At 47.4% G+C, this 25,435-nt stretch overlaps 1 long non-coding RNA gene and 1 pseudogene across 1 annotated transcript in view, besides 2 other annotated features; both read left to right on the top strand.

Moving 5' to 3' along the window:
• On the top strand, positions 1,921-2,827 carry HMGN1P35 (high mobility group nucleosome binding domain 1 pseudogene 35; annotated as a pseudogene).
• Positions 2,828-7,467: 4,640 nt separating this feature from the next.
• The window catches only part of LINC00269 (long intergenic non-protein coding RNA 269), a 30,368-nt gene continuing 12,400 nt past the window's right edge, over positions 7,468-25,435 (top strand). The window contains exon 1 of the long non-coding RNA NR_103715.1: positions 7,468-7,556. This is a non-coding gene — a long non-coding RNA (long intergenic non-protein coding RNA 269). The remainder of the gene's footprint in view (positions 7,557-25,435) is intronic.
• Positions 17,633-18,134: an enhancer, noted in NCBI's record as "H3K4me1 hESC enhancer chrX:68409565-68410066 (GRCh37/hg19 assembly coordinates)". NCBI's record gives its function as "activates a minimal SCP1, AML or CMV promoter by ChIP-STARR-seq in primed H9 embryonic stem cells {active_cell/tissue: H9 hESC(primed)}" and the evidence as "EXISTENCE:reporter gene assay evidence [ECO:0000049][PMID:30033119]".
• Positions 18,135-18,634: an enhancer, noted in NCBI's record as "H3K4me1 hESC enhancer chrX:68410067-68410566 (GRCh37/hg19 assembly coordinates)". NCBI's record gives its function as "activates a minimal SCP1, AML or CMV promoter by ChIP-STARR-seq in primed H9 embryonic stem cells {active_cell/tissue: H9 hESC(primed)}" and the evidence as "EXISTENCE:reporter gene assay evidence [ECO:0000049][PMID:30033119]".

Below are 25,435 nucleotides of genomic sequence, written 5' to 3' on the forward strand. Positions count from 1 at the left end.
GGTGAGTATTTCACCAGATCCTCAGCACTCTTGATATAGGCTTTAAAATTGTTGCCAATTAAAATTGTTGCCAATCTGATGAGTATGGAACACTGGCTTTGCTTTTCCCTGAATTACTAGAGAAGTTAAGCATCCTTTTACAGTTTTTGACCATATAGATCTCTTCTCTGAAATGCTTGTTCATATCTTTTGTCCATGTTTCTACTGGGGTTGTTTTTATGGTTATTGATTTCTAGGAGTTCTTTGTATATTCTGAATACCAGATGTCAGCTGTATTTGTACCGTTGCAAATATCTTCTCATAGTCAGAATTTTCTTTAAATGTAAATATGAAATTTTAAAAGCACTTAAAATAAACCATGGGAGAATGTTTTTTCATAATCCTAGAATGGAGAAGACCTTTGTAAGTTCAATGAACTATAGAAGAGAAAAAAAAAGAGAAAGAGAAAAGTTTCAACTACATCAAAAAAAATATTCTGGCCAGCAAAAAATAAACAATTCTAAGTAAAGTAAAAGACAAATGCAGAGCCAGGCACAGTGGCTCGCCTTGACAACTTGAAGCCAGGAGTTCAAGACCAGCTTAGGCAACATAGCAAGACCCCATTTCAATTAAATATTTGCTGCTAATTGCATAAAGGACTAATTTCCCAAATACATGAAGAGCTCCTATAAATCAATAAAAGACCAACAAACCAATTTTAACATGAGCAAAGGATACCAATATACATTTTATTAGAAAGGAAATACAAATGGCATTTCAACATTTGAGAAGACGTTCAAGCTCAGTGATAAAAATAAAATGGGATGTGATTTCACCCATCAGACTGAGCAATGAGAGACAGTTTGATAAACACTGTTGTTGAAGGTGTGGAGCCACAGGCAGGCACCCTTCAACATTGCCGGTGGTAGGGTGAGGTTACTTGGTAGTTAGAGCCTCTGTAGTCAGCAAGTTGGCAATAGCTATCAAATTACTAATGCACATACTTTTTGGCCCAGAAATTCTACTTCTAGGAATTTGCTTACAGATATACTTGCACATGATTGAAGTGAAATATGTGCTGTTATATTCCTTACATCACAGTATTGTTTTTAATAGCAAAAAACTAGAACGAACCTAAACGTTTATCAAGAGGGAAATGAATAGTTGTGATGGTGGAAGACCTACTGTAACACAGCTAAGATGCAGAATCTAATGCTAGTTGTATCAGAAGGGATAAATCTAGAAATCAATATTGAATGCAAAAAGTGAGTTGTAAGAGGGTATGTATATTACCATAGTATTTATATATGTTTTAAAAGCACATAGAGGGCATTGTAGGTTCAAGATTGTTCTATCTTCTCAGAGAATTATTTGATCACTAATAAATGACGTAATGACGTATCTCTAATAAGACTTTTGGTATAAAGGTCAATCCTGTCAGCAATTCTACTTTCCAGTTTGTTTGTTTGTTTGTTTGTTTGTTTGTTTGTTTTGAGATGGAGTCTCGCTCTGTCGCCCAGGCAGGAGTGCAGCAGCATGATCTCGACTCACTGCAACCTCCGCCTCCTGGGTTCAGGCGATTCTCCTGCCTCAGCCTCTCAAGTAGCTGGGAATACAGGCTCATGCCACCATGCCAGGCTAATTTTTGTATTTTTAGTAGAGACACGGTTTTGCCATGTTGGCCAGGCTGGTCTTGAACTCCTGACCTCAAGTGATCTGCCTGCCTGGGCCTCCCAAAGTGCTGGAATTACAGGAGTGAGCAACCAGGCCGGCCTCCAGTTTTCTTTTGATAAGATTTTTTTCTGGTATATTTTTACTCATCTTTTAAAAATATTTTTAAGGTAATATCTTTATAATTACACACAAATATTTATGTAATTTTAGACACAGTCATAAAAGAAATCCTACGTGCATGCTTTACTAAAACTATAGTCTTTTCTGAGCTTGGGTGGCCGGAGGAGTGGTAGCAGCCAGCCAGCCTAGCTTCGCGAAGGCTCTCCGCGCGCCGCGGCCCACAGGCACCCGGCACGCGCCCTCCCCGCCGCCAGGATTCCCAAGAGGAAGGTCTGCTCCGCTGAAGGGGCCGCCAAGGAAGAGCCCAAGAGGAGATCTGCGCGATTGTCAGCTAAACCTCCTGCAAAAGTGGAAGCAAAGCCGAAAAAGGCTTTGCAAAGGACAAATCTTCAGACAAAAAAGTGCAAACAAAACGGAAAAGGGGAGCAAAGGGAAGACAGGCCAAAGTGGCTAACCAACAAACTAAAGAAGATTTACCTGCAGAAAACAGGGAAAGGAAAACTGAGGAGAGTCCAGCCTCTGATGAAGCAGGAGCCAAGACTGATTAGCACCATATACAATGTCTTATCAGTGGTCCCTGTCTCCCTTCTTGTACAATCCAGAGGAACATTTTTATCAACTATTTTGTAAATGCAAGTTTTTTAGTAGCTCTAGAAACATTTTTAAGAAGGAGGGAATCACACCTTATCCCATTTTTAAGTGTAAATGCTTTTTTTTTAAGAGTTGAAATCGTTTGTTGGTTGTTTATTTTTTGGTACAACCAGAAAATAGTGTGGGATATTGAATTATGGGAGTCTTTGACCGTCTCGGGTGCCAGCTTAACATTCCATAGATGGTGGGTTAGTTTTTATATCCTATAATACAAAGCATATTAAATGGCAATATGGAGTCAGTCCTGCATTTAATGTCTTGAACATTTTAAATTACTTCTAGTCCCATGTTTTTTTGTTTTTTTTTTTTAGTAGAATTGTTTCCTAAAGAAAACCACTCCTTGATCATGGCTCTCCCTGTCAGAATTGTGTGCACTCTATAACATCTTTGGTTCCGGTAGTCCTGTTTTCCTGATAACTTTGTTACTGTGCTGTGAAAGATTTAAAATTTGAATATGTGGTGTACATGCTATTCAGTTGTGAATTGGTGGGACGTATATAACAGCTTATCAACATGTGAAGGTACTGGTACTTGATAGCCTCTTAAGGAAAATTTGCTTCCAAATTTTAAGCAGGAAAGTCAGTGGAATAACTTTAAAAAAGAATTACAATACATGGCTTTTTAGATTTTTGTTACATATGTTAAGAATTGTGTACAAATCAAAATGTCTGTACTGATCCTCAACCAATAAACTCTCAATTATGAAAGAAAAAAATTATAGCCCTTTCTATTTTTACTTGCCTCCCACCTTGGCCTATATCAGTACCCCCTCCACAACCTATGTCAATAAACTAGTATTTATTATTCCATATTTTTCTTCATACCTGTGTAATCACATACAGACATATGCGTACACATATATGTATACTTCTGTGTGTATATACATACACACATATGCAATACATGCACAAGTTTTTATTTGTCCTTTTTTATTAAAATGAGATTATATACATACTTTTCCAGTTCATGTTCTTCTCACTCAATAACACTCCCTGGAAATCAATCAGTATGGCTCTAATTACTAATCTTCAATGGTTTCCTAGTGTTTCAGAGTGTGGATGTGTCACAATCTACTCAGCTATTACTATGATTTTTAGGGTTTAAAAAAGCTGTAAGTAATTATGCAATACACATCTGTTATGGTTTGAATGTCTCCTCCAAAACTCATGTTGAACTTTAATTGCCAATGTAATGGAATTGGGAGATGGGGCCTTTAAGAGGTGATTAGGTCATGAGGGCTCCACCCTCTTGAATGAATTAATGTCATTATTGTGGCAGTGAGTTAGTTACAGAGGGAATGGGTTCCTAATAAAATGATAAGTTTGGCCTCTTCTTACTCTGTGTTCTGCATGCTCACTTCCACCTTTTGCCTTCCACCATGGGATTACCCTCACCAGATGCCAGTGCCATGCTCTTGGACTTCCCAACCTCCAGAACCATGAGCCAAATAAACTTCTGTTCTTTACAAATTACCCAGTCTGTGGTATTCTGATACAGCAGCAGAAAATGAACTAAGACATCTTTGTCCATATAGGTCCTTAAGTACCGGGGCTTCCATTCTTATGGGATGATGTCTCAGAAGTAGGATTGCTGGGTCAAATGATGTGCATCTTTTTTATTTTAATAAATGGTGCCAGACTGCTTTCCCCAAAGGCTGGAGCCTTCTCACTTCCTCGACAATGTGTGGCCCAGCAGCCTGGCTAACTTGACTTATTCTTGGCAGAGATTCCTCTCCAAGGAATTTGAAATTCAAAAGGAGACACACAGAGATTGAGAAGACTGGAGCTGAGTCATATTCATATCAATCAATTCTGAAAACAAGCCCAATATCTTGAAAATACAGTCTTAGTTTTTGCCCAAGTTAGCCAGAGTTGAATTCTGTTGCTTGCAACCAAAAGACACTAATAAACCGTAGTTATGGACTGAGACCTCAACCTGGTCACAAATCCAGCCATGATCCCAACTACGAATTCAACTCTAATCCACACCGTAGACTTAATCCTCACCCAGGTTGGAAACTGAGGGCCATTCCTGGCCCCAGACTTCACTGAACTCCTGCCAAGAACCCCTCTTCAAGGGGTGTTCCTGGCTGTCAGTGGATACATTTCAGTGGAAACATTTCTGCCAAACATATCCATAACCTGGGACCAAAAGTTAAGGCTTCTTTGTGACAACCAATGCCCATGACTTCTGGAGACAGGGGGGAATTTCTTCTGAAGAAAATTTTGTAAAATCTAAGAGATGTTTTGGGGACATCTGGGTTGCAGGAAATAAAAGGCCAAAAGAGAACATGGTTCTGGGGTGAAGGTTTAGTTTGTGGAGGCAGATAATAGGGATATGAGGGAGCCAAGTGTCTGGAGCTGAATGGGGCTGGGTTGAATCGCCTGCTGGAGCCTACATGGGTCTCTATGAGAGAGAGATCCCATGCTCCCAAGGCAAGCTCAGAGGAGTTGTCATCAAGAGGTCCAGGCAGCCTGTAGCCCAGAGTCCTCCTCCTTTGTCTCTCTCAACATTCTGGCACTGCCTCAACTAGCCCAATGGGCCCCCATGAGGCTCAGGCCCCTTTTCCCACTGTCCTGACTTCCCACAGGCCCCAAAGCCACCTGCCACCTCCTCCTTCCCTTCAATTTACTTCCCATCATCTTTTCCCCAGGTGTGTCTTCTCACTGCATGCCTCCTGCTGAATTTCAGGGATTAGGACTGTCTACCATGGGACACAGCTCCCTTCTCTTCTCCCCAGAGCCAGGAGGCTCTTGCCAAATCTGGTCCCAGCCTCGCTCCAAGGATCTCTGAAGGGAATTAGGCAGAACTTGCTGGGTGTGTGGCTGGAGAGACAAGCCAAGAGTGTGGGGAGGCGACTACCATTTGTCAAACACCTATTGTTATATACCAGGTAGGGAGTTAGCACTTAGCTCCCCTATTTAATCTCCACAGCAAGCCAATGAGATAGCAATTTTTATGGTCAGATAGGGAAGCTGAGGCCCAGGGATGTTCAAAGATTTGTCCAAGGCTACTCAGCCAGAGGTGGCAGAGCTGGGATTTGGACTCAGGACTGTTGATTCCAAAGGCAGCTCCTTCTAGGACTAAAGCAAGAGGAATGTAGTGGCCTCAGTTCCTCCCTGAAAGGGAGGCCCTACCAGGTAGAGAGTTCCCTGGTGGAGGCCTAGAGCACCTTCCTGGACCCTGGGCCCACTCTGTAGGGAGGGCTAGCTGGGTAAGAGCTGTGCTAGAGGGGCAGAGAAGCAGGTTCCTCTCACCCCAACCCCTGCAGGTTCCGCTCAGGCAGTGCTGGCCTCCCTCCTCCCATAGGGTCTCCCCGCTCCCTTTATTCCTCAACAGAGAGAGAAGGGAGCCAGCAGACAGTGCTGAGAGTAGAGTAGGCAGTCAGAAGACCAGACACAGATCATTCACAGGCAAGAACTCTGGGCTGCCCCTGCTTCACTGTTTCCATCAGGGCAATGGGGCATGGGAGGGTGTATAAGACGATGGCTGAGACCGTGTCAACTCCACCAGTGTGTGTGTGGTGAGGCCTGCCTGGGCAGGCAAGTGCTGTGACCATGTCAGTGGAGATGGCTCTGCCCACAGAACATGATTCAGGGGATAGCAAGGGCAGGAGCTAGGGTAAGCCAGGAAGACACATCAATAGCTGGTACGAGAGCTCTGTTAGGCCCTGCCTGGGGTCCAAGCCCTGCCTCTGGCTGCTCCATCATGACAGAAAGGTGGAGGATAAGCAAATGAGAATCTGTGGTTAATAGAAATGGGGTCTTTTTGAAAAGAGGAACACTAGGGGAAGTGCAAGAAGGTAACAAAGGGCTGGAAACACTCTCCTGGTTGTCCTGAGAGGCAGAGGAAATTGCACCTGTAAGAAAAAGCTTGCCTTTAGATCTCCACAGAGGCAAGGGGCACTGTGTGGCTGATTAAACGGAGCTCTAGTTACAGGCCTGATACCCCTGCTTGCTGTGCAACCCTGAGCAGGTCTTTTTTTTCCTCTCTGGGTCTCAGTGTTTCCATCTGCACAGTGAGAATTTGGACCTAAATGTTCTCCAAGAGCTCTCTCAGCTCTCAAATTCCAGAATCTTCTCTAAACCTTCTCTGAGTCAAGCCCCTTGAGCATGGCTGTGCCTCAGGCACTGACAGTTGTTTTAATGTGCTGATCAGTAGTGGAAGTCACAGTAACATTGTGAGGTGGGGGTGGTGTGCATTGGGGTCATCCTAGGATCCAACGTGAACTCCTCACCACGGCCTAGAGGCTTGAGTGGATTAATGCCCTGCCCATCTTTCCAGCCTCCCCTCTCCCTCTCCAGTTTCCCCTGGCTTCCTTTCCTTGTCTGGGATGTATCAGACTCCCTCTTGCTTTGGCACCTTCACATACACTGTTCACTATACTTGGAACGCAGGATCCCCACCTCTTTGGTAATTCTCTTCCTTTTGATCTTAGCTGAAATGGCCCCTCTTCCAGGAAGTCTTCCTGGGCCCCTAGCCTAGGCCAGCTCCCAGTCTGAAACACACTCATAGCATCATGATAATGATCATAGTAGTAGTTGCTTGTACCATATAAGTATGTTTGTATCTGTCTCTCCTCCTCAATTACTATCAGCTCCCTGATAGCAGGACCCTTGTTTATCTCATTCACAGCTTTACCCCTGGTGTCCAATAACCCAGGAAACTTTTAACCAACAAATATTTCTTGAAAACAAAACCCCTAGAAGCTGCCATGTGCTGTAGACCTACTGGGGGCCAGGCACAGACATACAGCATCTCATTGGGTCCTTGGATCATGCTCTCCCTACTTATTTCTTAGGTGCAGAGATGGTGTGGCAGAGAGCTGATGGGTTTTTTCCTTCCAGAAGATCTTTGTCCTGGACCAGTTGGCTGGGGTGTGCAGAGCTGGGCCTGGCAAGCAGGTCTGCCTGTTTTGTGCCTCCTTTTTTGCTTGCCACCACTCTTCAGAGAGGAGCAGCAGCTGTGGCCGCTCCTCGTGTTCCCATAGCAACCAATGCTTACCTCCCGCTCACACTGGTTCCTAATTGCCTGATTACGCATCTTCTCCCCCGCCAGCTCGCCAGCTCGGGAGCTTCTTGAGAGCAGGGTCCATGGCAGGCTTTGCTCACCATTGCGTGGCTCCAGGCTCAGTGAGTATTAGTTAAATGAACAAAAATGAATGCATGACCATCCATGCACTTGGGTTTTTAAAAGCTTTCATCAAAAACAAGGCACCTGGCAGCCTGTAGTGGCTTGGGGGAGGGCGAATTTGAGGACTCGTTGCTCCTGGCTCACCTCTGCTGAGTGGCGTGGGTGGCCAGCCCCCCTTCTCCTCTCTCCCCTGCTGCCTGGGGAAGCTCTTTAGAAAACAGGCAAGACAGCCTGCACGGTCATGGCTGCTGGCAGGAGGGGGATGCTGGAGACGGTGTGACACCCTCCCCTACCAATCCCCCCACCCCTGCTCCACCATGCACAGGCACACTCGAACTCCCTCACCACCTCCTTCTGATGGAAGCCATCTCAAATGGCCAGTTTTTGCTTTCAGAATTACCAGAAACAATTGAGCAGCCTATTCAATTCTAATGCTCTGTTCACAATCTCACCAGTCAGCCCCTTTACTCTGTTCCCATTGCCACCATGTTAATCCCACTCACCACCATCTTCCACCTGAGCTGCTCCAACAGCTACCTCCCTGCCCCCTTTCTGTCCTTTTCTCTTCCCCCTCGTGCCCTCCCTCACGCCATCTTCCATGAAACAGACAGAAGGAGTGTCCCAAACAGAAATCATCCCACGTTATTCCTAGCCAGACTCACGACAGAGGCAGGTGCATTTTTACTATTTTTGTGGCATGACAGAGTCTGTGTAAGTCACTGAAGCGCCTAGAGGGGAAGCAGGTAGAGCTACTAGTCCATTAATTTAGTCTTTAAATGTTTGTTCCCTTAAATGTTTGGCTTTGGACCACGCATGAGCTAGTGAGCCCAGAGCTCACAAGGATGGGACCAATATGAGTTTTTACCCTAATGGAAGGAACAGAAAAAAAAAAAAAACAATATGTGATCTGCACTTTGTAGAGGGTGCTATGGGAATGTACAGGGAAGTATGTTTGTGCAGAACCAGATGAAGGAACATTTGAGCTGGGTTTCCTATCAGAAATTGTTGGTTGCAAGCAACAGAAAGCATCTCTGATTAACTTAGGAGAGAAGGGAATTTATGGGGTTGGAGGGGTAAGCTATAGGGAGCTTACAGAATCAAGGGAAAAGCTAGAGAACCAGGTATGGAAATCGACATAAGCAAAGGCACTTCTTGGGGAGGGGTTGGGAAGGAATAGGAAGCAGGAATGGTTTGATCAGGATGTTGCCAATAACATGAATGAAGTCTGTTTCCTCTATTCTTATATTGCTTATTCCAGATTCAAAGTCCAATGAGACTGTCCAGTCACCAAGCTTAGTCCCATGCTCGCCTCCTGGCTATACTGGGCTGAGGGGGGGAAGGCAACTTCCCTTTGGCTTCTATGGAAGGAGGCATGCATGGATTTATTGTTTCACCAACATTACCCACAATCAGGCAGAGACAATTCACTAAACTGGAGCCTAAGGAAAGGGGAGGAATGAAGGCTGGGAAGCCACAAACCAACAAATGTCCACTCTCTGCTTGATGGCAGCAAAAAAAAAGAGGAAGAGGGCATTCTAGCCAGAGAGAACCGAATGGACAAAGAAAGAGCTGAAGCCTGCTGTGCTCCTGGCAGGCAGGCAGCAATGTGTGACTGGGGCGTAAGAGGAGGAAGGCAAAGAGCCACAGATGAGATGGGAACAGGGAGAAGACAGATCACAGTGTGCCCTGTGGAGTGGGCCCTAGGGAGCCAGTCTCTGGGGGTGGGGGGTGACCACATTGGCATTTTAGAACCTTCACTCTGGGGGTGTCAAGAATGGATCAGAGATGGCAAAGTTGGAGATGGGGAGACCAGCAAGGAACTCTTGTAGGCAAGAGATGATGAGGCCTGAATTCCAACATTGGTGATGAAACGGAAAGAAGACAATGGATTCAAGAGCAATGCAGGACCTAGAATCCTGAAGTTTGAGGGGGTGGAGGATGGAGAGGAGTAAGAGATGACTGTGTGTCAAGAGGGAGGAGTGAGTTTGGGAGAATTTGTGCTTTCTTCATGGGCTTCAAGAAGCCCACAAAGAATGGGTGTTCTCTCAGCACTCATTCAATCAGTAGTTAATGTCAGCCTGGCCCCACTAGCATATACTCTATTGAAAAAGGTGGGGAGAGAGTGAGAACTTTGTTTTTTTGAGATAGAGTCTCATTCTGTCACCCAGGCTAGAGTGCAGTGGTGCAATCTCGGCTCACTGCAACCTCCACCTCTCGGGTTCAAGTGACTCTCGTGCCTCAGCCTTCTGAGTAGCTAGGATTACGGGCGTGCGCTGCCATGCCGAGCTATTTTTTTTTTTTTTTTTTAGTAGAGATGGGGTTTCACCATGTTGGCCAAGCTGGCCAACTTGTGACCTCAAATTACCCACCCACCTCAGCCTCCCAAAGTGCTGGGATTACAGGCATGAGCCACCCACACCCAGCCAAGAGTGAGAACTCTTAATGGGCCCTCTCATACTCTGCTGGTGGGAACATACACTGATGCAGTTACTCTGGAGAACAATCTGGAAGTATGTTTTACTGTTTTAAATATGCATACCTCAGCACGTTGATTTCTAGAAATTTGTCCTAAAGAAATAACAAGTGTGTACAGATAAACATAGGTACAAGGATGGCTCAACATTGTTTATAAAAGTAAAAAACTGGAAACTACCTCAATATGCATCAACAGGGAAACTGGCTAAATAATAAGCCAGTAGGGACAGAAAAGAGAGAAGACACTGACCACATCCCTGGCCTCTGCAGCCTGACAGGCCTCAGTGGAGGAGAAGGGTAAAGCTTTCATTTTTAGTGAAGTTTGGGTTTTGTCTGTTCCACTAGGCTGGACATGTTAATTCCTGGAGGTAATTGGAGGATTTTTTTTAATTATCTGAAAGCGTCTCAAAAAGTTCTGGCTCTTCAGGAGATTTCATCCAAGAAGTAGGGGAGAAATAGGTCACAGAGAGTGTTTAGGAAGAAATAGGAGGGAGAAAATAAGTTTTCTGCTTGTGGATTTCAACCCGTTTACTAAAGTTACAATAACAACCATTACCTCTGGGGAATTCTGATTGAGGGAGGCAAGACTTTTACTTAATACTTTAAAAACTTTTGCATTGTTTGAATGTTTTACAATGTGCCCAAATCACAGAAATAAAAAGATAGTAAAAACAACAAAGATACTCGCATTTGTGGAGAGAGTGGAGATGCTGACAAGCTCCCTGAACCCCTGGAGCTTCTAGAGCAGGGTTTCTCAACCTGGGCACTATTGACTTGTTGCAAGGGCTGTCCTGTGCATTGCTGGGGGTGGGGGGCAGTGAGGCAGACTGTTAGCAGTATCCCTGGCCTCTGCCCACGAGGTGCCAATAGCACACCCCCACCCTGAGTTCTGACAACCAAACTGTCTCCAGACATTGTCAAATGTCTCCTGGGGGACAAAATCACCCCCAGTTGAGACAACTGCTCTAGAGGGATTATTCAGAATACGTGGGTGTCTTCTGAGCCTCTGGGCCTGGTGACCTCATTAATCCTATCTCCTAATGGCTCCCTGCCAGCACCTTTCCATGGCTCCATTGGTCTGGGAGTCAGAAGATGTAGCTTCCAGTTTCGGTTCTGCCACTTACTAGCGATGTGATCTTGGGCCTTCCAGAGCCTCATTTCCTCATCCCTAAAATGGGATAATTAACAATGACATGGCTCAAGGACAACCAGGTTCTCCCTTTCAACTGGATCTTTCCCTACTGCTTTTCAGGTGCCCAGGTGTCTCCCACTGAAACCAAGAAACCAACCCACCTTCCAGGACCTTACTTCCTTCTGCAGCTACTTCCCTGCCTCTCTCTTCTTCTTCACAGCCAAACTTCTTCAAAGAGTCATCTCACTCTTTTGAAGGCATTTCACACTCAATGTGTCCTAAACTGATCTCATGATCTTCCTCCCCAAACCTACTGTCTTCTCCTGTCCCTTATCATAGCAAAGGGACCCCCTTACATCTAGTTACACAAGCCTAGGAGTCATTTTCAACATCTTCCACATTACCAACCTCATAGCCAATCCTGCTCGTTTTACTTCCTAAGTTGCTTTGGCTTTCAAGATTATTTATTTCTAAACAGGAAATACATTGAAAAATCAAAATAAATATAAAACGAGATTTAGTAAGGAGTCTCACCCAACTCCATTAACTTCAGCACTCCCCCTAAAACACACACATAAACCACCTTTATTTGGGGGGTGGGTTTCCTTCCAGTGCATCTTTATGGAAAGACAAACAATAGATATTGCTTCCTTTCTTCCACAAAATACAATACTCTACATGCTGTTCTGTACCTTGCATTTTTCACCTAAAAGTATATTTTGTCAATCTTTCTGTTCAGTATTAGAAATCTTTTGCTCTGTTTTTACAAATAGTATTCTACTGGGTGGACCTAACAACATTTCTTTTACCATTCCCTTATTTACAAGTGCCAGTTATAGGAAATCTGCTATTCTAAGCAATCTCTAAACATCTTTTCAACCCATCCACTTGTTTCAGTCTCCTTTGTCTCCACTCTAGCACAAGCTACCACCATCCTCTCCTGGACTCAGCAGAATAGCTTCCTAAATACTCTACCCAAATCATCTCTTGCTCTATCTTCACATAGTGGCTGGACTGGTATTTTCAAAACATGACTTTGATCATATCCTTGCCTTGCTTAACGACCTGCTGCAGCTTTCTTGTGGTTTCAGGGTAAAGACAAAACTCCTCCTTATGGCCTGTGAAGCCTCATTGAGTCTGGCCCTGCCTCACCCACCTCTCCCTGCTCCCCTGACCCCCTCTGCCCCCTCCTTCTCCACTCCACTCCCAGTGGCCACCTTTTAGTTCTTTGCATATGTTGTTCCTTCTTTTTTTTTTTAGACAGAGTCTTGCTCTGTTGCCCAGGCTGGAGTGCAGTGGCGCGATCTCGGCTCACTGCAAACTCTGCCTCCCGGGTTCACGCCATTCTCCTGCCTCAGCCTCCCGAGTAGCTGGGACTACAGGTGCCCGCCACCATGCCCGGCTAATTTTTTGTATTTTTAGTAGAGACGGGGTTTCACCGTGTTAGCCAGGATGGTCTCGATCTCCTGACCTCGTGATCCACCCGCCTCGGCCTCCCAAAGTGCTGGGATTACAGGCGTGAGCCACCAAGCCCGGCCCATATGTTGTTCCTTCTGCATAAAACACTCCACTCTGCTCCACTCACCAGGTTCCTTTCTATGTGTCCTTAAGATCTCACCTTCTTTGTCCACTCCTCAGGAAGCCTTCCCTGAGCTCCCTGCTAGGTCAAAGCCCCAAATTAAAGGATCTCATTAGCACCGCGTGCTTCTCCTGCATAACCCTAGTCCCAGTTGTAAGTTCACATTCATTTGGGGGACACTTTGATAAATGTCTGGCTCCTGTTCCCATGTGGACTATGAGGTCCATGAGGGCAGAGGCCTTACCTATCTTTGCTTTCCATAAAGGCCCTGCATCTAGAAAATTGTTGACCAAATGAATGAAAGGATGAGGCATATAAGGGCCCCAGCAGAGAACCTGACACATAGTAGGTGCTCAAGAAGTGTTGCTTTCCTCTTTCTTGCATTCACTGTCTTTGCTCTGGAGCCTGTAATGGGTTGCCTTCTATGTGCGCTACTCAACAACGCTGCTCTCTAAACACTCAGCCTGTGGCCTTTGCTTGGGCTTCTCCTTTCTTGATATGACTCATTTAATGGCTGATCATTTCTTCCTCCTGAAAATCCTCTCTTGTCTTGGCTTGATGCCCTGGGATCCCTTTACCCATGGTGGCTTCCTCTCTACTTTCTCTTCCTCTGCCTACCCCGAGATGTTGGGATTCCTCAGGTTTTATCCCAAACCCCTTCCCTTCTCATTCTATACACTCTCTTTTGAGCCATCTCATCTATGCTCATAGCTTCCATCAACATGTATGTCAAACTTTGAGTCTCCCGCTCAGGTTTTTGTAATATGCCTCAGGTCCCCGTATTAAATGCCAGCCTCTGCCTCTAGAATGTAAGTGGAGCGAGACAGCAGAGATTGTGTCTATGTTTGCTTATTACAGTGTCCCCAGCCCCTGAAGCAGTACTTGGCACATAGTAGTCACCCAATAAATACATATTGTCAAATACATAAATGGCAGGGCCCATGTTATGATGGTGACAGCTGCCTTCTCCAGAGGCAGCCTTTTTCTTGGCAAGGCAGTGGGGCAGAGAAAGAGGCTGGGTGCTAAATGTCATGTCCTGGCTTTTCTCATGCTGGGCCTTAGCAGATATCTCACACCCACAGTCAGGATGAAAGATGAAATTCCAAGCAGGATTTGCACCCAGGAGCCAGCAGTCTCTGAATCAGCAAACTGTCCTATGGGGTTGTTTCACCCCATTTGCAAACCATAAGGCAGCCTTTGAGAGAGAAGGCAGCTCAACACAACATGTGCTAGCATCATGTCCAGCCGAGTAGCCTTTAAGGGGAGCAAATAGCTGGCCACATCGTGTGGCAATGTTGTCAGAGGGGAGGAGGGCATTAGGCTGAGGCTGCACCTGCCAGGATATGGACATGAGGTTGAATCCTCCTGCCCCACTGAAGAGGGGAGCCAGACCACTCTGCTCCCAAACCCAGGGCCTTTCCAACAAAGGTCAAGGGTGGAGGAAAGCCAGGTTGAGTGGGCAGAGGAATTCTGCTTATAGCCCTGACACACTGCCTGTGGCACAGCCTCCTACAACAGACTGGCCTGTAAGGCCAGGTCCTGCCCGGTCTGCATGAGAACTGACACAAAAGTACAGACCGTTCTAAGTCAGAGCTGAGGTGGCCCTTTGAACCCCAGATCCACCCACCTCATGATTCCGTTGGAAAAGCTGAGGTTTAGGTTCAGGCAGAGACTGTCCTGTAGTTGGTAACTAGCAAGCCAGGGCGTCTGGCTTATCTCTTAGCCTTTAGCCTGCTTGGCCCTACAGACTTGATAGTTTCTTCCTGCTTACATTTTAGAGGGAAGAGACAGACCACAATTTTAAAAAGAATATGCAAGTAAAATATGTAGCATGAAAGATGGTGGCAAGGGTTATGGAAAAGAAGAAAGTAGTGGAGGGGGAATGAGGGTGCTAGGGTTTGTGATTTTAGATGGCATCATCAGGGGAGGCCTCCTTAACAAGGGAGCACTGGAGCAAAGTCTGAGGGAGGTGAGTGAGTGCACTTGCTCTCTCTACAGTGTACTGTGAGGACACCCAAGACAGAGCCCGAACCTCCAGACTGCCCCCAACAGGGCCATGGTCAGAGGGCCTCCTGGGAGGTTTGCCTATGGATTTTGGCCTGGCCACAGGGACAGGAATAAGCATATCTTCTGAAACTGAGGCTGGACACAGAACCAAAGGCCTATGACACCCTAGGTCAGGTAATATTAATAACAACAGTAATAATAATAATAATAGCACCATTTTATCTGCATTGAGCACATACCATATGCCAGGCACTGTTTCTAGCACGTTACGTGTGTTATCTATCTTATTCCATTCACACAATGACCCTATGAAAACAGTGCTGTTCTAATGCCCATTTCATAGATGAGAAAACAAAGTCTCAGAGTGGTTACAGAACTTGCCCAAGGTCACAAAGCCAATGAGCAGCAGAGTTGTGCTTTGATCCTAGGTCTTTGGACTCCAGAGCCCATGTTTCATAGACAGAAGCAGGTTTTAGCCATCTGGGCTGGAACGTTTGTCTAGAAACAGAGGGTAGATGAGATGATCTCTTGGGTTCTCTGCTGTGGTCATAAGGGCCAGGCAGCTCAGAGGCAGTTGAAAGTGATGTCTAATATGGAAGCCAACCTGGGATAGGATTGTGTCTGAGGCCTCTACAGAAGAGGTAGGCTTCATCTTCTCTGGAATGTGAGCTCCGTGAACGCAAAGCCTTTTCTGTCTGGTCTGCTGCTCTATCACCACTGCCTGACACTAGTCAGTGATCAATAAATATTGGTGTAAATGAGTGAATACAAGAATGAACCAATAATTCACTCTCACTTATCGAAGGTGGGCCCAGCCAGACACTGCCATCTTTCCAAACAACCAGGGCATCTGGACTTGTGTCTCCCTGAGAATGTGAGGCAAAGAAAGAAGGCATGGCAGAACTAGGAGCAAAGGAGATGCTGCTGGGGTCGGGAGCCAGGACAGAGCCCAGAGCTGAGGACTGGGACAGTGATGGGTGCAGAGAGGCCACCCTTTGTGAACACAGTTCTGGGTGCTTTACATATGCCTCCTCATATCATCCTTCCCACAGCTTTGGGAGATAGAGATTACTACCTCATAGAAAGATGAGGAGACTGAGGCATAGAGAGGCTAAATGACTTGCCATGAATCATACAAGCATTATGGGGTGGAGCTGGGTTTAAACTGAGATTGGCAAGGCAGGCCAATTGCTTTGTGTGGTCCCTAACTGGGGTGCAGTTAGAAACTCTTTCCCCTCTGCTGTCTACCTTCCCCCATCTCAACCTCCCAAGCTCCTTTGCTCTGCAGCTGTCCCCAGACCTCAGCCTGGGAGCTGGACCCTGCCTCTTCAGTCTCCCTAAAGAGTGGAGACTCCAATGCAACAGGTCTTCCCTCCCTCCCTCCCTCCTTCCCTCCCTCCATGTACCCTAGAGGTCTGAGGTCAGGGCAAAGCCAGGACCAGCAGTAAAGAACAGACATGGAGTGAGACAGATCCAGATTTAAGTCCTGGTTCTTCCACTTAATACCTCAGAGAGGAAGAACTACCTTGCTGAGCCTCAGTGTCCTCCTCTATACATATGGGATAATATCACCCATGTCATGGCGTTGTGGGGACTAACTGAAATCACTTAGGGGAAGGAACTGGATTCCAGGTGAGCTGGAGACAGGAAGAGGCAGTCATAATAGTCCACCACATTACAGCTTACACAGCACGTTTCCATTAATTTCTAGGCTCCCCTTTTTTTCTGTATAACCATTCTATTGGGTAAAGTTATTGTCCCTCTTCTGTAAATGAGAACACTGGGGCTTGGAAGTGACTTGCTAACCAAAGGCATGCAGTCTGGAAGTCACAAGGCAGACATTCTAAGCTAGATGCATGTGACACCCGAGTGTGTGGGGAGCCCCCTTCACCTTCCAAGGCGAGCACTCCTTTACCCTCCGATATCAAGTTTGGTGGTGACAGTACTCATCTTGTAAAGTGCTGGTTCTCCTGATCCTCTCCTCCAAAGCAAGACTCAGTGGTGCACTGAGAGGATCTCCTCCAGGCCACAGCCCTACCTCACTCTGCAGTAGCAGCAATGAGGAAAGAAAAATGGTTGTCCCAGCACAGGATGGGAGAGTGAAGCATGGTCACAATGAGGGCCAGAGAACGAGCAGGAGGTAAGCAGGAACCCTGAAGTAGTGCACCTCAAACCTAGGAAAAACCATGTCTTTGGCCATCTTTAGAGGCGGCTTACCAGAGAACAAGACACTTCCCCGTCGTCAGGTCATAGCAGTCATCCTCTGTGCGTGGCTCTGTCTCATATTGTGAACTTGTTCTTTGTGTAGAATGGGTCTCTTTTCTGCTGTAGCCCATGAGGTTTTTCCCTTATCTTTGATGGTCTGTGAATTTCCCACAAAGTGTCTAGGTATAGACTTATTTTATTTATTTGGCTTAGTCCTTGGCCCGCCCTTTCTCCCTGAAACTCATACCTCTTTTCCTTTCTGAAAAACTCTCAGCTATTATCTCTCAATGATTGCCTCCTCACCATTATCTGTTTGGAGCTTCTGTTAGACTTAGGCCAGAGCCCCTCAATGCCAACCTTCATGCCTACTAACTGCTCTTTCAAAGTTTGTTTCTATGCTGGTGTGAATCCCTCAGCACTAGCCTACAATTCTCTAATTCTTTCCATGACTGTGTCCAGGCTAGAGCTATCGCATTCATTGAAGTTTGCTTTCTTTTTATTTCGATAACTATATTTTTGACTTCCAAAGTTTCTACTTGATTTTCTCTTTTTATCTCTCTTCCTGTTTTTGTGCAATCCTATTTTGTCCTTTTAAGGAATATCATTCCTTCATTTCTCTCTGTGTGCATCCTGGGCATGCTTATTTTCAAAATCTGTCAGCCTATTCTCTAAAACTCATCTGGAGTAAATTTATGTGCTGATTGTAGATTTTGCTGGCTCTCCCTGAGCATTAGATTTCTTTATGTGTTTTGGAATTTTGGTTTGGAGAGGGAGTGTTGGTGTTGTTTTGTTTGTGTTTGTGTCTTATTGTCTTTCTCTCTCAGTGCTTGCCCCTCCCTATCTGGTGGTTTCATGGTGGCCTCCACTGGCCCCTCCACACCCCTCAGCCCAGAATCCGATTTTATGACACTCAGGTCTCTTGCCCTATAGGACATGTTGGGGGCATTCTCCTGCTTCAGTGTAGAACCTTGGGGCTCGGTTCACTTCCTTGTCATGAGGCCGAGTCTGCCTCCACCCAGCTCCTCATGGCCCAGGCTGCCTTGTAGTCAGAACTCCCAGAAGCAGCTGGAAGCTGTCTTTTCCAGCTCGTAAGGGGAGAGCCCTGCCCCTCCTCCCCCTGGTTTCTGCCTCCCATCCCACAATGGAGCACTTGTAGTACTCACAGGAGCTGAGTCCCGGCCACTCCTGCCCACCCCCCACCACGGCGCCCGTGTTCTGACCCAGGGGCCGGCAGGCTACAGCTGTGCTGGTTGCTTTGCATTTCTGTGTGTGCTCTATATCTCATTTTTTTCAGCCTGATTCTGTCTTTGGGGTTTTCTCTTTTTACAGTGTATTGATCTTCCATCACTCTGTGCTTGGTACAGAGGGGCTCTGTTGCCATCTTAACTGGAAATGTACTCTAATTGTGTACTGTATGTACCATAACCAGAAATTATTTAACCAATCCCCCATTGTTACACTTTTATGTTGTTTGCCATTTGGGGCTAGTACAAACAAGAAGGCAATAAACATCCTTAATGCACTTGTCTAATTCCTAATGCGAAGTTGTGAGATCAAAGGGTAGCCATGTTTCCATTTGATACATATTTCATTTTGTAGGTACTACCCCAACCATCACCACCACCACCAATACACCATCGCTGGCATCTGGTTTGTTGAACAGAACAAGGGAAACCCTGGAAATAAATGAGACCGTGCTGTCGTAAAGTCTAACTTAGTGTACACAGGTGAGGCATTCTTAGACAACTTCTTCCCTGTTTCCATCTCTTTTGGAGCCCCAGCTCCTTCTCATGGGTTATTTCATTTAATCTTCATGACATCCCTACAGGATAGGGAAATCTCATTTTGCAGAAGAGGAAGCCAAGGCTCAGAGAGGTAAGACGACCTCCTAAGATTTTACTGATAGGAAGAGGAGTCCACGTGAAGTTGAGGAGAAAGGTGGGGTGCTCCCCAGTCCACTGAGCTGCAGAAGGGGGGCCTTCTGGTCTTCACTGATCCATATGTTTAGGAATTTGGCTGCCTCCATGAGACCATGGTACAGCGATTGTGGGCAACTCCTAATTGTCTGGGTTTAGGCACACTGGGGCAGCCTCCACTGCGTGTGGGACAAGTGCTGGCTTTGCAACTCAGGCTCAGCCCCTCTGTAGTTAAGTAATGATGAGCTCCTCCTTATCCTCTCATTTTTCAACGGGAGATAGCCGGGTATAGTGAGAGCACACAGGCTCTGGATTCAGTTAAAAACCAGCTCTGCCACTTTCCTGCTGTTTGACCTTGGCAAGCCACCTCACCTCTGTGGGTCTCAGTTTCCACATCTGTAATGTGGGGTAATAAGGCTTCTCTTGGAGAGGCATTGTTAAGATGAAAGAAAGACCGGTGTGCCTGGCACATAGTAGAGATTCAAATAAAGCCTGTTTCTGACAAGGGTGAAAGGTCACATAGCTAAGCCTGCTCAGCCAATCAGCTGGGGCCACACCCTGTCCTGACTCCACACTCAGTGTTCTTCCCAATGCAACTGTCTGGGCCTCCTTCAGCTATTTGTTTCATTGTCCTGTCCTACCATGTTCCCTCCTGCCAAAAAGAAAGAACCATCCCAAGGAGCTGAAGCTCTGGCCTCTGTGCATGCTCCCACAGCTTCTGCTGGGCTGCCTGACAGGAGCATGGGCCCTGAAAGCTTCACACGTGTCCCCGGACCCCACCACAGGTGTGAGCCTGGATGCATGACTCTGCAAGATGCTACACACCAAGAGGACTGGAAGTTTGAGATTACTGTGGAGTGGTGGCTGCTGATGGGGCCTCCGGCCTGCCCACTGCCTAGGCCTGTAGCCCTCAAACAAGTCTCCCCTGCTCTCTTGGAGGCACTGCCCGCAGCCTGTTGGAAGATCACAAAAAGCAAGAATTGGCCCTTCCTCCTCTGGCAGAGCCTGCATAGCCTCTGGGAGGCAATTAGGGCTTGGGCCTGCCTTGGGAATTCCCAAGGGTACCCAAAAACACTTCAAAGTCACAAGCCCATCTGCCTGCTTCACCCTGGGGGAAAGGGGCAAGGGGGGCATATTGCAATCACTCCCCAGATGGGAAGCTGAGGAGACCAGTCTCAGGCCCACGGTGGCCTGGGATGGAAACTCTGGCCATGTGGGGTTCTTCCTTTGCACAGTGCTGTGGCACATGGAGATATCTGGTTGTGGGCTCAGTGTGAGGGAATGGGGTACTGGTGAGCAGAGGTGAGGCAGGGATACTTGGAGTCCCAAGTGCCTGCAGCTCTCACAGCTTACAACCTGGGTCTCAAGATAGGCAGAAAGACTCTGTCACAGGGAGGTGGCACTGGAACCTCATGAGATTAGAACTGAAGACCAAGGCCCTTCCAGCCTGGTCACTGGCACACTTCTAAGGTGCTCTCTGCCCATCACTGGCGGTTAGTGCTCCTAGAGCTCTGTGCCAGGCCCACCTCTCTTCCATCCTTCACATGCCTCTGGTGTGACCTCATCCACCCCTCAGATTGCAGCTACCACCTCTGTGCTAATAAGAGTTCAGATGAAGTGAGTGCTAACTCTGTGCCAGGCACTGTTCTAAACATTGTGCTTGTGTCAGTTCATTTAATCTTCACAGCAACCTAATGAGGTTGACCCTAATACTACGCCATCATACAGATGAAGAAGACAATGAGGTCTGGGAGGCTATGGAACTTGCTAGGAAGAGGCTGATGACTCCCAAACTGCTCTCTTTCGAGCTGGTTTCTCTTCTCATCTCCTTTCTTCCTGTTACTCATGACACACCTAGGCTGGAATGTCCCACAAGCTCCTCAGACCCACCACAGCCAAAACTGCACTGACATTTCTCCTGTACCCACACCCCATCTCAAAATCCTCCTTCTCCCAGAAGCCTCATCCCCCACAGTTACTCTCCCATCTACTACATCCCTGGGTGGTATATCTTGCATTCCTTTCTCTTCCCCCTGCAACACCTTGAGGGTCTTCAGTCCTACCCACTCACATTTCTTCAATCTCCCTCCTCTTTTTCTCCTTCCTCAGTGATCCTTCCCCCTGGGGTCTTCTTCTTCTCCTTCTTCTTTAGTTTTATTTTAATTAATACATAATAATTTTGCATATTTATGGGGTGTAGTGATGTTTCCATACATGTATACATTGTGCAGTGATCAAATCAGTGTAATTCACATAACCATCATTGAAGCATTTATCATTTCTCTGTGGTGGGGACATTCAAAATCCTCTCTTCTAGATATTTTGCAAGATACACTACATGATTGTTAACTGCATGGCCTTGCTGCACAGTAGCACACCAGAACTTACTCCTCCTGTCTAATTGTAACATAGTTACAGTTGGAACAACTTCTCCACATCTCCCCTCCCCAGCCTGTGGGAGCCATTGTTCTACTCTCTACTTCTATAAGATCAACTTTTTTAGATTCTTCATCTCATATCTCTACTTTTGTCTTCTCCCCTCACATTTATCTTCCACACTGCCATGGGAAGGGCCCATGGCCCATCCCCTGCTCAAAATCCTTCTATGGTTTCCCATGGCCTACGGTATCAAGGCCAAATTCCTGATCCTAACATGCAGGGGCCCCCACAGTGGGAACAACTATCTGTTGAACTTCACCCTTTACTTTCCCAGCCACTCCCTCTAGCCAATCTGGCCTCCTTGCTGTCCTTCTAAGGTACCTTTCAATGCCTTGAACTCCTGTCTTTGGCATACTCCATCCCATCCCCACACTCCTCTACACCCTTGGAATACTCTCCTTCTTCCCATCCACCTGTTCTGAATGTCCATCCCAAATGTCACCTTCTCGGTGAAGCCTTCCTGTCCTCTCCTGTTGAAAGTACTCTTGGCTGTGTTGAGACTGCAGCAGTGTAATATGGAGATCGGACAGACCATGAGATTTGGAGACAAAACTGAGCCATGGGACATCTGAGAAGGCCCTTTAATCACTCTACCTCAGTGTCCTTCCTTATAAAATGCAGCCATGAATACCTCTCCCCTGGGTTGTGTGAGGGTGGAATAAGAGGCAGCAGGCAAACCTTGGCACACAGTGAACAGGCCTTGGGAGAGCCCATCACCTCTTCCCAGGGGCACTCCATGTCCACAGCCCTCTGCGCCACAGCACACTGCCAAGGACTGTTCTACCACCCCCGACCCCTGAGATTGTTTCTCTATCTTTGCTTTCTTCCTAGCCCAGCATGCAGTAGTCCTCAGAAATCCCTGAGGGAGGAAAGTCCTGACAGGAAACCTTTCTGGGCAGCCTCAGTTTGGGGCCTGATGGTAGAGATTTTCCCCAGTCTTAACGAGTGAGGCCTGCATCATTGTATTGTACAGGTCAAGGTGGGTTGTTCTGGTTCCACTGAGCACTGAGGACTCCAGGAGTAACAAGCCCCCATCCTTCGTTGGCTGGAGAGGCTGTCATGACATGGTCATCTCCCCTAAGAAAGGGAACTTGGCCTGAGAAGCACTGGGCTCTGGGAGCAAGGCATGTGAGCTCTGGTCACAGAAAACCTGTTCTTAGAGGAGACCTGGATACCTTGTTCCTGGATTTATCAACTATCAGGTTTCTTAGCTTTTCTCCCCTGGGCCATGGGTCCAAGAACCAATGGAGCATTTCTGGGTTTGAGCAATCTGTACTTCCCTCTGTTCTTCCCCCCAGCCTGATCAAAGCTCTTGGACCTTACTCTCCTGTTCCTTTAACAGCAAGTTTAGGAGCATGGTCATGGGGGCTAGAGTGCCCAGACAATCCAGCTGAGCCCAACAAGACAGAGAATAAGCATAACCTTATATGTGATTGAGAATAACCTTATATGTGATTGAGTCATCAGTCACAAATCACACTCCCTGATTCAGAGACTCTCAGAGTAGCAGTGCTAGGGCAGTTCCATATACCTTTCTCCTTGCATTGCAGCTGGGCAGACTGAGGTCCAGAGAGGGTGAGGGACTGATTCAGATCACACAGCAAGACAGCAGTGGAACCCAGACCTCCAGACTCCCAGCCCAGGGCCATTTTTCCCACACCTAGGACTCTATCTGAGAAAGTGATGGTAACTGGTAGGAGAAGCTGGGGGTGGGGGCTGCAGGAGGCAGGAACTTGAGGGGAGGAATGTGGGACTGGAAGGTGGAGGGGAAGCAAAGCCCCCAGCGCTGAGTGGCGGCCCACCCTGGAGACATCAGCCCAGCTATCACACGGCTTCCTCTGCTGAGGATTAGCACAAACATCCCCCAGCTGTGGCCCTCCCTGCTGGCCAGCTGTGCAGGCTTTGGGTGGCGCGCCCCAGATGCAGGAGGCCCCAGGCTGGAGGCTGGACTTTCTCTCTTGTGACGTTGTGTGCTCTCCCGGCATCCAGAGGGCATGGGCCAGCCTCTGGCTCATCTCTGCTGTCAGGCCCGGTGAAGGACAGTCAACACTCCTGACTGATCAAAGGCACTCCCACCCTCTGGCCCCAGGAGTGCCGGGGCCGAAGGGGAGTGGGAGAGCTCAGATGCCGTCCTGTCATGCTTTGAAGTCCCCAATGCATTCTGGGGTAGAACTTGCTGTGGAGTGAGACCTCTGGAACACAAACTTAACAAAAATTCCTGACATGTGTTATGATGGAGGCAGGAGAGCCGAGTCCTGACACCCTTGGCCAGACCTTTCACCTCTCTGAGCCTTGCCCTTTCCAACTGGGCCAGGAGGGGACTGGATTCTGCAGAGTAAAGGCCAGGCCAGCTTGCCATCCCGTGACTCTGTGAGTTTCTCTTTCTTCTCTCAGAGGCCAGGTGGGCAGGGTGGCCCAGAAAAGGCTTATGGGCAGGAATAGAGGTAGTCTGGCACCAAGGACAGGGTGCGTGGGATAGCTGGGTGTGGGGGCTATTTATTCATTCATTTATTCATTCATCCATCCATGGAGCACCTACTGCATTCCTTAGCCCAAGGACTTGGAAATCGGGCACCCTAACATGCTGCTCCACTACTCAAGGGACCTATTAATAGATTCTGAACTGGCTCCTCCCCTCACCGTGCATTGCCTCTGTTCTAGAGCTAGGATGGGCACACTGGTTTGTGACTTTTAGCCATCAGGGGCCATATCCAGCAGGGGTTTTGGTTGAATCTGAGTCCAGCTAAGTTAAACCAAAAATAGATTTACTGGAAAGCTTTGGGATGGCTCACAGTCTTGTTGGGGAAGGGGGAGAACCAACCTCAGAGAAAGGGAAGGCACCCAATGAGGCAGGGAAGTATGTTACAGAACCAAGGGACAGTCAAGCTCATACACTACTTCCGGGACTGCTTCTCCTCACCTGACCCCTCCCAGTGGACCCTGACATTGGGAATCATTTCTGAAATGCTTCTTTTCATGAGGAGTATCTGGCTGTCTGTCAGGGGGCTTCAGGAGGGAGCTCTTTGAGCTTCTGGCCTTCCCCCCTCCCTCCCTGAACTCTCTCCAGCTACTGCAGCCTATGCCCAAGCTGATATTGTTTTCTAACTGACCAAGCTCTTTGGCTTCTCCAAATGCCCCAGCCAGCCCTGGGCTTTCTGAACTCACTATATCTCCAAATAACTTCTTTTTCCCCTCCATGTATGTCCTTTAGGGTCACAACGAAAGGGGCCAACACAGACATCTCCCTCACTGGTCTTGATCATTTTGTGCCTGGCCCCAGCCTAATTTAAAGCCCTGTAAACTAGTACATGTCGTGACCTCAGGGTAAAGGTGAAACCCCCTGCCATCTGCTGAGGGGGTAGGGGGGGCACCTGCTGGAGGAATGGTACAGTCCAGACCCATGATTGCCCCAGGAGAATCAGCCAGAGGCAAGCCAGTCTGCTCAAAGCCCTGGAGGCTGAGAGGTCTGGTGGCAGCCTGTCAAGGAGCCAACCGTGCAGGGGGCTGGCCAGGCTGGATGTGGGAACCACACTGGAGACTTATTGGCGCAGATCCCTCTCATAGCTATGCTACAAGCCCTCTTATCAGATGCAAAGGGGATCTTCTGTTCTCCACAAGGGCAATGTCCTACCAAGGTGGGGGTAAAACTGGCCTTGGGAAATTAGAGACATTACGTGACTTGCTGAAGGTTATGTAGATGATAATGAGCAGAGCTGCAACTCCCCAGTCCTCAGTCAGCAACAAAGCACTCTAGCAAAGACCACATTGTACCAGCTCCCCCAGATAGCTTTCAGGAGCCCCCAGCTCCCCCGCCAGCCACCTGCCTCAGGCCTTAACTACTTCATTAGAACCACAGTGTGTCCAAGCTTGAAGAGACCTCAGAGGTCAGTAGCCTAGCCCTCCCCTCACACACACATATGCATACACACACAAGTACACCATTACAGCTGGAAAATTGAGGCTTGGGGAGGGAAAGGAGAATGCCAAAGATTGGCAAGCAGGTTGATGGGTCTAGAAGCCAGATCCCTGGGCTCCTCTGGCAGCCATGGTTCTGTGTACAAGCCTGGCTACATTCCTGTCCTTATCTTACAACCTAGCCGCAACAGCTATTCCTACCTGTCCTCT

This window comes from Homo sapiens, chromosome X (assembly GCF_000001405.40).
Source record: "Homo sapiens chromosome X, GRCh38.p14 Primary Assembly".
Lineage (NCBI taxonomy): Eukaryota > Metazoa > Chordata > Mammalia > Primates > Hominidae > Homo > Homo sapiens.